Here is a 13,770-nt window from a genome sequence, read left to right on the forward strand (position 1 = left end):
ACACCAAAAGCAATGGCAACAAAAGCCAAAATTGACAAATGGGATCTAATTAAACTAAAGAGTTTCTGCACAGTAAAAGAAACTATCATCAGAGTGAACAGGAAACATAGAGAATGGGAGAAAACTTTTGCAATCTATCCATGTGAGAAAGGGCTAATATCCAGAATCTACAAATAACTTAAACAAATTTACAAGAAAAAAATGAACAGCCAGGCTCAGTGGCTCACACCTGTAATCCCAACAATTTGGGAGTCCAAGGTGGGCAGATCATGAGGTCAGGAGTTCAAGACCAGCCTGGCCAACATGGTGAAACCCCATCTCTACTGAAAATACAAAAATTAGCTGGGCATGGTGGCGCGTTCCTGTAATCCCAGCTACTCGGGAGGCTGAGGCAGGACAATTGCTTGAACTGGGACCCAGGATGGGGAGGTTGCCGTGAGCCGAGATGGCACCACTGCACTCCATCCTGGGCTACAGAGGGAGACTCCTTCTCAAAACAAAAAAACAAAAACAAAAACCAACCCCATCAATAAGTGGGAAAAGGATATGAACAGACGCCTCTCAAAAGAAGACATTTGTGCAGCCAAAAAACATGAAAAAATGCTCATCAACACTGGTCATTAGAGAAATGCAAATCAAAACCACAATGAGATACCATCTCATGCCATTTAGAATGGTGATTATTAAAAAGTTAGGAAAAAACAGATGCTGGAGAGGATGTGGAGAAATAAGAATGCTTTTACACTGTTGGTGGAAGTGTAAATTAGTTCAACCATTGTGGAAGATAGTGTGGTGATCCCTCAAAGATCTAGAAATATCATTTGACCCAGCAATCCCATTACTGGGTATATACCCAAAGGATTATAAATCATTCTACTATAAAGATACATGCACACATATGTTTATTGCACCACTGTTCACAATAGCAAAGACTGGGAACCAACCCAAATGCCCAACAATGTTAGACTGGATAAAGAAAATGTGGCATACATACTCCATGGAATACCATGCAGCCATAAAAAAGGATGAGTTCATGTCCTTTGCAGGGACATGGATGAAGCTGGAAACCATCATTCTCAGCAAACTAATACAGGAACAGAAAACCAAACACCGCATGTTCTCACTCATAGGTGGGAGTTGAACAATGAGAACACATGGACACAGGGAGGGGAACATCACACACCGGGGCCTATTGAGGGTTGGGGTCTAAGAGAGGGATAGCATTAGGAGAAATACCTAATGTAGATGACAGGTTAATGGGTGCAGCAAACCACCATGGCACATGTATACCTATGTAACAAACCTGCATGTTCTGCACATGTATCCCAGAACTTAAAGTATAATTTTAAAAAAATTACAGAAAACTTTCCTGAAGTAACAGAAGAAAATTGAAAATTGCACATAAATTTTATAAACTGAAAAGGAAAAGAATTAACATATAAAGTAAGATGATGCTAGGCATAAAAATCAGACAACAGTGATTCCATCTATTGATATTTCTGTAATTTTAAAACAATTTAAGAAAAAGTAGAAGAGAACATTCCTGGAAGTCTTGAAACGTTATAATAAAAGAAATGATTACTTAGCAAAAAAATACTAGCTGAGCATTAGAACAGATGTATTCCAGCATTCAGTAACAAAGAATGTGATAAGTATTCTGACATTAAAAAAGATTGATTATATTTGCCTAGATATTTACCATTCAGATGTTCATTTTTTATAGAAATTCCAATTTCTATCTAATACCAACATTTTTTGGACTTCATTTATCATTTTATATAGTGCTGGTTGCTTGGTGATTAATTCTCTCAACCTTTACATGCCAGAACAGTCTTTATTTTAACTAGATATTTAAACTAGATATTTTTTTCTGGGTATATAATATTAGACTGGTTTTTCTTTTTTCTTTCCTTACTGTAAAAAGAAGTCTCCATTATCATCTGCCTTGTACTCCTGAAGAGAAATATTCTGATATTTTTATACTTTGCTTGCAATGGGCAATTTACCTAAGGTTTTCTTTGTTTCTTCTGCTTGAAGTTTGTTGAGTATTTTGTGGAGGTTTTTCTTTGGATCTATAGGTTTATAGTTTTCCTGATATTTGGAAAATGTTTAAGTTATTTCTTCACTTTGTTTTTGTTTTTGGTCAAACCCTCTCTAATTGTACACCGCTAGGCTGCATGATGCTGTACTACAGATCACTGATGTAGCTTCATTTGTTTTTTGATCTTTTTATCAGTTTCATTTTGAATATTTTTACTGCTGTATCTTCAAATTCACGAGTCCCTTCTGTTGCACTTTAATCCTAATCATTTCATATTGTTTCTCTTTTTTATTAACTTTTATTTTAGGTTCGGGGGTGCATGAGAAGGTTTGTTACATAGGTAAACTCATGTCACAGGGGTTTGTTGCACTGATTATCTAGTAATCCAGGGATAAAGCCCAGTTTGCAATAGTTATCTTTTCTGCTCCTCTCCCTCCTCTCACTCTCTACCGTCAAGTACACCATTGTGCCTATTATTTCCTTCTTTGAGTTCATAGGTTCTTATCATTTAGCTCCCACTTATAAGTAAGAACACCAGGTATCTAGTTTTCTGTTCCTGTGTTAGTTTGCTAAAGATAATGGCCTCCAGTGACATCCATGTTCCCACAAGACATGATCTTGTTCTTTTTCACGGCTACATAGTATTCCATGGTGTATGTGTACCACATTTTCTTTATCCGATCTGTCATTGATGGGCATTTAGGCTGATTCCATGTCTTTGCTATGGTGAATAGTGCTGCAGTGAACATACACATACATGTGTCTTTATAATAGAATGATTTGTATTCCTCTGAGTCCATACCCAATAATGGAATTGCTGGGTCAAATGGTAGTTCTGTCTTGGTTCTTTGAGGAATTGCCACACTGTCTTCCACAATGGTTGAACTAATTTATATTCCTACCAACAGTGTATAAGTGTTCCCTTTTCTCTGCAACCTCACCAGCATCTGTTATTTTTTTAATTTTTAGTAGTAGCCATTCTGACTGGTGTGAAATGGCATCTCATTGTGGTTTTGATTGGTGTTTATCTAATTATCAGTGATATTGAGCTTTTTTTCATATATTTGTTGGCTGCATGGATACCTTCTTTTGAAAAGTATCTGTTCATGTCCTTCATTCACTTTTTAATGGGGTTGTTTGTTTTTCTCTTGTAAATTTGTTTAAGTTCCTTATAGATGCTGGATGTTAGACCTTTGTCAGACGTACAGTTTGCAAAAATTTTCTCCCATTCTGTAGGTTGTCTGTTTACTCTGTTGATAGTTTCTTTTGCTGTTCAGAAGCTCTTTAATTTAATTAGATTTCACTTGTCAATTTTTGCTTTCATTGTGATTGCTATTGATGTCTTTGTCATGAAATCTTTGCCTGTTCCTATGTCTAACATGGTATTGCCTAGGTTGTCTTCCAGAGTTTTTATACTTTGGGTTCCATTGGTCTATGTGCCTGTTTTTGTACCAATACCATGTTGTTTTGGTTACTTTAGCGCTGTGGTATAGTTTGAAGTACAGTAACATGATGGCTCCAGCTTTGTTCTTTTTGCTTAGAATTGCCTTGTTTATTTGGGCTGTTTTTGGTTTCTAGTTCTGCAGAGAATGTCTTTGGTACTTTGATAGGAATAGCATTGAATCTGTAAAATACTTGGGCAGTATGGTCATTTTAATGATATTATTTCTTCCTATACATAAGCATAAAATTGTTTCAATTTGTTTGTGTCTTTTCTGATTTTTTTTTGAGCAGTATTTTGTAATTCTCATTGTAGATATCTTTCACCTCCCTGATTAAGTGTATTCCTAGGTATTTTATTCTTTTTGTGGCAATTGTGAATGGGATTGCCTTTCTGACTTGGCTCCCAGCTTGGCTGCTGTTGGTGTATAGGAATGCTAGTGACTTTTGTATATTGATTTTGAATCCTGAAACTTTGCTAAAGTTGTTTATCAGCTTAAGGAGCTTTTGGGATGAGACTATGGGGTTTTCTAGGTATAGAATTTTGTCATCTGCAAACAGAGATAGTTTGACTTCCTCTCCTCCTATTTGGATGCCTTTTATTTCTTTCTCTTGTTTGATTTCTCTGGCTATGATTTCCAATGCTATTTTGAATGGGAGTGGTAAGAGATGGCATCCTTTTCTTGTGCCAGTTTTCAAGTTTTGGCCATTCAGTATGTTGGCTGTAGGTTTGTCATAGATGGCTCTTATTATTTTGAGGTATATTCCTTCAATACCTAGTTTATTGAGAGTTTTAAACATGAAACAGTGTTGAATTTTATTGAAAGCCTTTTCTGCATCTATTGAGATAATCATGTGGTTTTTGTCTTTAGTTCTGTTTATGTAATGAATCACATTTATTGATTTGCATAAGTTGAACCAAACTTTCATTCCAGGGATGAAGCCTACTTCATCATGGTGGATTAGCTTTTAGCTTTTTAATGTGCTGCTGGATTCTGTTTGCAAGTATTTTGTTGAGGATTTTTGCATAGATGTTCATCAAGGATATTGGCCTGAATTTTTTGTTGTTGTTGTGTATCTGCCAGGTTTTGGTATCAGAATGATGCTGGCCTCATATAATGAGTTGGGGAGGTGCCCCCCCTCCTCTGTTTTTTGAATAGTTTCTGTAGGAATGGTACCAGCTCTTCTCTGTACATCTGGTAGAATTTGGCTGTGAATCCATCAGGTCTTGGACTTTTTTTGGTGGGTAGGCTATTTATTAATGGTTCAATTTCAGAGCCTGTTATTGGTCTGTTCATTGAATCAATTTATTCCTGGTTCAGTCTTGGGAGGGTGTATGTGTTCAGGAATTTATCCATCTCTTCCAGGTTTTCTAGTTTGTTTGCATAGAGGTGATCATAGTAGCTTCTGATGGTTATTTTTATTTCTGTGGGGTCAGTGGTAACATTCCCTTTGTCATGTCTAATTGTGGTTGTTTGGATCTTCTCTCTTTTCTTCTTTATTAGTCTAGCTAGTGGTCCATCTATCTTATTAATGTTTTCAAAAACCAAATTCCTGGACCTCTTTTGAATGGTTTTTTGGGGGTCTCAATTCAGTTCAGCTCTGATTTTGGTTATTTATTGTCTTCTGCTAGTTTTGGGATTGATTTGTTCTTGCTACTTGAATTCTTTCAGTTGTGACGTTATGTTGTTAACTGAGATCTAACTTTTTGATGTGGATACTTTGTGCTGTGAATTTCCCTCTTAACACTGCCTTAGCTGTGTCCTAAAGATTCTGGTATTGTGTATCTTTGTTCCCATTAGTTTCAAAAAACTTTTTGATTTCTGCCTTAATTTTATTATTTACCCAAAAGTCATTCAGGAGCACGTTGTTTAATTTCCATGTAATTGTATGGTTTTGAGTGACTTTCTTTGTCTTGACTTCTATTTTTATTGTCACTTAATTTCATTATTTACCCAAAAGTCACTCAGGAGCATGTTGTTTAATTTCCATATAATTGTATGGTTTTGAGTAAATTTCTTAGTCTTGATTTCTATTTTTATTGCACTGTGGCCCAAGAGTTTGTTTGGTAAAATTTCTGTTCTTTTGCATTGGCTGAGAATTGTTTTATGTCCAATTATGTGGTCAATTTTAGAATATGTGCCATGTGGTGATGAAAAGAATGTATGTTCTGTTGTTTTTGGGTGGAGGGTTCTATAGAGGTCTATCAGATCCATTTGGCCCAATGTTGAGTTCAGGTCCTTTGTTAATTTTCTGCCTCAATTATCTGTCTAATACTGTCATCACTTTATATTTCATCTCACATATTTTCATTTCTAGAAGTTCACTCTGGCCTTTGTAAAAAATATTTCATTAATCCCTTATTATTTGCATGAGAGATTACTTTTGTAATATATGTAATGAATTTATAATGGCTGTATAATATCTTTTTCTGTTAATTTTATCATCTTTGTCATTTCTTGATCACTTGCTATTAATTGATTTTCCCCTTGATTATGAATTATTTTTTTCCTACTTCTTTACATGTCTGATAATTCTTATTGAATGCCAGAAATTGTATGTTTTACAATGTTTTATATTTTTAAGATATTTCTTTAAAGATTTGGGGGCAGGTAGATTACTTGGAATTAGTTTGAACTTCTCAAGATTTAATTTTAATGCTTCATTAATAAGGATACAGAACAGCCTTTAGTTGAAGGCTAATTTGGCCCTTGTGCAGAAGCGATGCACTTCTGAGAATCGTATTTGCTGCCCATTTATTAGAAAGACATTTTACTTCCAGTGATTAGAACATAAAGAATTCCCACCTCTATGTGCGCTCTAAGGATTGCGGTGCCCACTCCTGTATGGTGGTTCTTCCTCAGCTTTAGTAGTTTTCTCACATGCATGCATAGATCACTATTCAGTCAAAGACTTAAGAAAACCCACCCGCACCTCTACAGAACTCTTTTCCTTGGCAGCCTTATTTTCTTTAACACTATGTCCTGAGAATTATAGCTTCTGTGGCAGCCAACACAAACTTTCAACTTTATCTCCTTAATTTAGTAACACAACTGGGCTCTGTTTGGCATCAGCATCTCTATGCTGCAAAGTGGAAACTCTCCCCAGGCAGTGAGCTGTAAGGTTTACCTTCTTTGTTTCTCTATTCTCAAGGATATAAAATAAGAATGAATACAGACTCCTGGTCATAAATAAAGTCAGTCAGAAAAAAAATGAAGTGACGTATTTAAAATACTGAAAGAAAAATACAGTCAATCTGAAGTTATCCACCTAGCAAAATTATCTTCAAAAATGAAGAAAAATTTATTAAAAACTTTTTCTAGACAAACAAAAAGCTATAAGAATTGGTTACCAGAAGAAGTACAGTGTAAGAAATGTTAAGGAAAGTATTTCAAACAAAAAATATATTACCACATGGACCTTGGGTGTACACAAAAAAATGAAGAGTGCCAGAAATAGTAAACCCAAGTACATGAAACAAAGAAATAACAGGCCTATAAAGTAAAATAAACAAATGCATAATAATAGAGATTTTGACATACCCTTCTCAGTAATTGGTAGAACAATTAAAAATAAAATAAGGTATAGAATATAGTAACAAAACATTATAAACCAATTTGACCTGACACAGAACACTCCATGTAACAACAGCAGAATACCTGCTTTTTCAAACATAAATGAATCATTCATTAAGACAAAGCATTTACTATACCTATAAAAGTAGTTCCTATAAATTACAGATTATGTCCTCTAACTGCAACAGAATTAAATTAGAAATCAATAATAGAAAAATACAAGAATATGCCCAAATATTTGGAAATTAAATAACATAGATCCAAATAAACATGTATCCAAAACAATCACAATGTAAATTATAAAATGTGAATTAAAAGAAAATTGAAATAAAACATAATAAAATTTGTCAGATGTAACTCAGTTACTTAGAAAAAAAGTTCTAAAATCTACTGTCTAAGATTCCCCATTAACAAGCTATAAAAATGAAAATTAAACCTAATATGATTGAAAAATCATAACAGCAGAAATCAATTTTTTAAAACTGAGAAAAATAGAGCAAATTAAACAAAAGGCTGTTCTCTGAAAAGATTAATATATTTAAACGCTAGCTAGATTGAAGAGTAACAAAAAAGATGAGTCAGATTACATCAGAAATAAGAGAAATGGCTAAAGATACTGGTCATTAAAAGAATAAAACATTATTTTCAAATGCATGTCAATAATTTTGATAGCCTAGATGAAGTGAACAAGTTCCTTGAAACACACAAATCACAAAACAGCCCACCCCCCAAAAAAATAGAAAAGCCAAATTGGTTGAGGACTTTTCTATTAAAAAGCACAAATTTACAAATAGACTCATGAAGACAAGTAGCCAAAAAGCCCTATATTTATTTTAGAAATTAAGATTCTAATTAAATATTCTCTCACAAAGAAATACACAGTGCAAAAAGACAAGAAAAAGAAATAAGAACATACAAATTGATCACAAAGAAGTAAATCTTTCTTCATTCATAGATAACATGATCATCTATGCAGAAAATTTTAAGGAATCTATAAAGAGATGCTAGGGCTAATAAGTAAAATTAGCAATGTAGTAGGACCCAAATCAAGATAACAACAATCAATATTTCTCTATACTAGCAATAAACAATGAAAAATAAAATAAAATTTATAAAACAATACCATTTATTTATAATTGTCATCCCAAAACATGAAATAATAATAAATTTAACAAAATAACTGAATTATAGCTAAAAAGTGCTAAACGTTGCTAAGAAAAATCAAATAAATAAATATTTGCTAATGGATAACAAGATTAAATGTTTAGATTCAGTTCTCTGCAAATTTATACATAGATTCAGTGTAATTCTAATCAAAACCAGTCTTCTGTAGAAATTGCTAAAATGACTTTGAAGTATATCTGAAAAAGCAAAAGATCTATAAAAGTCAGAATAACTTTGTAATTACAGAGTTGGAGAAATGAAACTGCCTAATACCAAGACATATCTGAACGTTGCAGTACATAGGCATAAAAAGTTAGACCATGCCAGGTCAGGTGGCTCACACCAGTAATCCCAACACTTTGGGAGGCTGAGGTGGGCAGATCGCTTGAGCTTAGGAGTCTAACACTGGTCTGGGTCAGGGCATTGCCTCACATGGGAAGCACAAGGGGTTGGGATATTTCCCTTTCCTAGCCAAGGGAAGCCATGAGTGACTGTACTTGGAGGAATGGTACACTCCTGCCCAAATACTGCACTTTTCCCATGGTCTTCGCAACCAGCAGACCAGGAGATTCCCTCCGGTGCCTGGCTTGGCAGGTCCCACACCAACAGAACCTTGCTCACTGCTAGTGCAGCAATCTGAGATACATCTGGGATGCTGGAACTTGGTGGGGGGAGGGGCGTCCACCATTGCTGAGGCTTGAGTAGGTGGTTCTATGCTCACAGTGTAAACAAGGTGGCAGGGAATTTAGAACTGGGCAGAGCCCACTGCAGCTCAGCAAGGCCTATTGCCTCTCTAGATTCCACCTCTGGAAACAGGGCATATCTGAACAAAAGGCAGCAGACAGCTTCTGCAGACTTAAAGGTCCCTGCCAGATGGCTCTGAAGAGAGCAGTGGTTCTCCCAGCATGGTGTTCAAGCCCCATTAACAGACAGACTCCCTCATCAAGTGGGTCCCTGACACCCATGTAGCCTGACTGGGAGACACTTCCCAGTAGGGGCCAACAGACACCTCATTTAGGTGGGTGCCCCTCTGGGATGAAGCTTCCAGAGGAAGGATCAGGCAGCAATATTTACTGTTCTGCATGCTCCACTGGTGATACCCAGGCAAACAAGGTCTGGAGTGGACCTCCAGCAAACTCCAACAGACCTGCAGCTGAGGGGCCTCTCTGTTAGAAGGAAAACTAACAAACAGAAAGGAATAGCATCAACATCAACAAAAAGGACATCCACACCAAAAACCGATCTGTAGGTCACCAACATCAAAGAAAAAAAGTAGATAAAACTACAAAGATGGGGAGAAACCAGAGCAGAAAGGCTGAAAATTCCAAAAACCAGAATGCCTCCTCTCCTCTAAGGGAACACAACCCCTTGCCAGCAAGGAAACAAAACTGGATGGAGAATGAGTTTGATGAGTTGACAGAAGTAGGCTTCAGAAGGTCGGTAATAACAAACTTCTCCAAACTAAAGGAGCATGTTCTAATCCATCGCAAGGAAGCTAAAAACCTTGAAAAAAGGTTAGGCAAATGGCTAATTAGAATAACCAGTGTAGAGAAGAGCTTAAGTGCCCTGATGGAGCTGAAAACCACAGTACAAGAACTTCATGAAGCATACCCAAGCTTCAATAGCCGATTTGATGAAGCCGAAGAAAGGATATAAGTGATTGAAGACCAAATTAATGAAATGAAGCGAGAAGACAAGATTAGAGAAAAAAGAGTTAAAAGAAATGAACAAAGCCTCCAAGAAATATGGGACTATGTGAAAAGACCAAACCTACATTTGATTGGTGTACCTGAAAGTGACGGGGAGAATGGAACCAAGGTAGAAAACACTCTTCAGGATATTATCCAGGAGAACATCCCCAACCTAGCAAGGCAGGCCAACATTCAAATTCAGGAACTGCAGAGAACATCACAAAGATACTCCTCGAGAGGAGCAACCCCAAGACACATAATCAACATATTCACCAAGGTTGAAATGAAGGAAAAAAATGTTAAGGGCAGTCAGAGAGAAAGGTCGGGTTACCTACAAAGGGAAGCCCATCAGACTAACAGAGGATCTCTCGATAGAAACTTACAAGCCAGAAGAGAGTGGGGACCAATATTTAACATTCTTAAAGAAAAGAATTTTCAAACCAGAATTTCATATCCAGCCAAACAAAACTTCATAAGTGAAGGAGAAATAAAATCCTTTACAGACAAGCAAATGCTGAGAGATTTTGTCACCACCAGGCCCGCCTTACAAGAGCTCCTGAAGGAAGCACTAAACATGGAAAGGAACAACCGACATCAGCCACTGCAAATATACACCAAATTGTAAAGACCATCGACGCTATGAAGAAACTGCATCAATTAACAGGCAAAATAACCAGCTAACATCATAATGACAGGATCAAATTCACACATAACAATATTAACCTTAAATGTAATTGGGCTAAATGCCTCAATTAAAAGACACAGATTGGCAAATTGGATACAGTCAAGACCCATCAGTGTGCTGTATTCAGGAGACCCATCTCATGTGCAACGACACACATAGGCTCAAAATAAAGGGTTGGAGGAAGATCTACCAAGCAAACGGAAAGCAAAAAAGAAAAGCAGGGGTTGCAATCCTGATCTCTGATAAAACAGACTTTAAACCAACAAAGATCAAAATGGAAAAGAAGTCCATTACATAATGGTAAAGTGATCAATTCAACAAGAAGAGCTAATTATCCTAAATATATATGCACCTAATACAGGAGCACCCAGATTCATAAAGCAAGTTCTTAGAGACGTACAAAGAGACTTAGACTCCCACACAATAATAATGGGAGACTTTAACACCCCACTGTCAATATTAGACCGATCATCAAGACAGAAAATTAACAAGGAAATCCAGGATGTGAACTGAGCTCTGGACCAAGCAGACCTAATAGACATCTACAGAACTCTCCACCCCAAATCAACAGAATATACATTATTTTCAGCACCACATTGCACGTATTCTAAAACTGACCACATAATTGGAAGTAAAACACTGTTCAGCAAATGTAAAAGAACAGAAATCACAACAAACTATCTCTCAGACCACAGTCCAATCAAATTAGAATTCAGGATTAAGAAACTCATTCAAAACCGTACAACTACATGGAAACAGAACAACCTGCTCCTGAATGACTACTGGGTAAATAACAAAATGAAGGCAGAAATAAAGATGTTCTTTGAAACCAATGAGAACAGACACAACATAACAGAATCTCTGGGACACATTTAAAGCAGTGTGTAGAGGGAAATTTATAGCACTAAATGCCCACAAGAGAAAGCAGTAAGATCTAAAATCGACACCCTAACATCACAATTAAAAGAACTAGAGAAGCAAGCGCAAACAAATTCAACAGCTAGCAGAAGACAAGAAATAACTAAGATCAGAGCAGAACTGAAGGAGATAGAGACACAAAAAACCCTTCAAAAAATCAATGAATCCAGGAGCTGGTTTTTTGAAGGATCAGCAAAATAGATAGACCACTACCAAGACTAATAAAGAAGAAAAGAGAGAAGAATAAAATAGACACAATAAAAATGATAAAGGGGATATCACCACCGATCCCACAGAAATACGAACTACCATCAGAGAATACTATAAACACCTCTACGCAAATAAATTAGAAAATCTAGAAGAAACGGATAAATTCCTGGACACATACACACTCCCAAGAATAAACCAGGAAGAAGTTGAATTTCTGAATAGACCAATAACAGGTTCTGAAATTGAGGCAATAATTAATAGCCTACCAACCAAAAAAAGTCCAGGACCAGACAGATTCACAGCCGAATTCTACCAGAGGTACAAAGAGGAATCATTACCATTCCTTCTGAAACTATTCTAATCAATAGAAAAAGAGGGACTCCTCACTAACTCATTTTATGAGCCCAGCATCATCCTGATACCAAAACCTGCCAGAGACACAACAAAAAAAGATAATTTTAGGCCAATATCCCTGATGAACTTCGATGCAAAAATCCTCAACAAAATACTGGCAAACCCAATCCAGCAGCACATCAAAAAGCTTATCCAACACTTTCAAGTCGGCTTCTTACCTGGGATGCAAGTCTGGTTCAACGTATGCAAACCAATAAATGTAATTCATCACATAAACAGAACCAATGACAAAAACCACATGATTATCTCAATAGATTCAGAAAAGGCCTTTGACAATATTCAGCAGCCTTTCATGCTAAAAACTCTCAAAACACTAGGTATTGATGGAATGTATCTCAAAAATAATAAGAGCTATTTACGACAAACCCACAGCCAATATCATACTGAATGGGCAAAAACTGGAAGCATTCCCTTTGATAACCAGCACAAGAGAGGGATGCCCTCTCTCGCCACTCCTATTCAACATAGTATTGGAAGTTCTGGCCAGGGCAATCAGGCAAGAGAAAGAAATAAAGGGTATTCAATCAGGAAAAAAAGGAAGTCAAATTATCTCTGATTGCAGATGACATGATTGTATATTTAGAAAACCCCATGATCTCAGCCCAAAATCTCCTTAAGCTGATAAGCAACTTCAGCAAACTCTCAGGATACAAAATCAACATGCAAAAATCACAAGCATTCCTATACACCAATAACAGACAAACAGAGAGCCAAATCATGAGTCAACTCCCATTCACAAGCTACAAAGAGAATGAAATACCTAGGAATACAACTTATAAGGGATGTGAAGGACCTCTTCAAGGAGAACTACAAACCACTGCTCAACGAAATAAAAGAGGACACAAACAAATGGAAGAACATTCCATGCTCATGGACAGGAAGAATCAATATCATGAAAATGGCCATACTTCCCAAAGTAATTTATAGATTCAATGCTATCCCTAGTAAGCTACCATTGACTTTCTTCATAGAATTGGAAAAAACTACTTTAAATTTGAAATGGAACCAAAAAATAGCCCGCATAGCCAAGACAATCCTAAGCGAAAAGAACAAAGCTGGAGGCATCATGCTACCTGACTTCAAACTATACTACAGGGCTACAGTAACTAAAACAGCATAGAACTTGTACCAAAACAGACATATAGACCAACGGAACAGAACAGAGGCCTCAGAAATAATGCCTTACATACAACCATCTGATCTTTGACAAACCTGACAAAAACAAGCAATGGGGAAGGGATTCCCTGTTTAATAAATGGTGCTGGGAAAACTCACTAGCCATATGTAGAAAGCTGAAACTGGATCCCTTCCTTACACCTTACACAAAAATTAACTCAAGATGGATTAAAGACTTAAATGTAAGACCTAAAACCATAAAAATCCTAGAACAAAACCTAGGCAATACCATTCAGGACATAGGCATGGGCAAAGACTTCATGACTAAAACACCAAAAGCAATGGCAACAAAAGCCAAAATTGACAAATTGGATCTAATTAAACTAAAGAGCTTCTGCACAGCAAGAGAAACTATCAGCAGAGAGTACAGGCAGCCTACAGAATGGGAGAAAAATTTTGCAATCTATCCATCTGACAAAGGGCTAATATCCAGAATCTACAAAGAACTTAAACAAA

This window comes from Homo sapiens, chromosome 7, assembly GCF_000001405.40.
Source record: "Homo sapiens chromosome 7, GRCh38.p14 Primary Assembly".
Classification (NCBI taxonomy): Eukaryota; Metazoa; Chordata; class Mammalia; order Primates; family Hominidae; genus Homo; species Homo sapiens.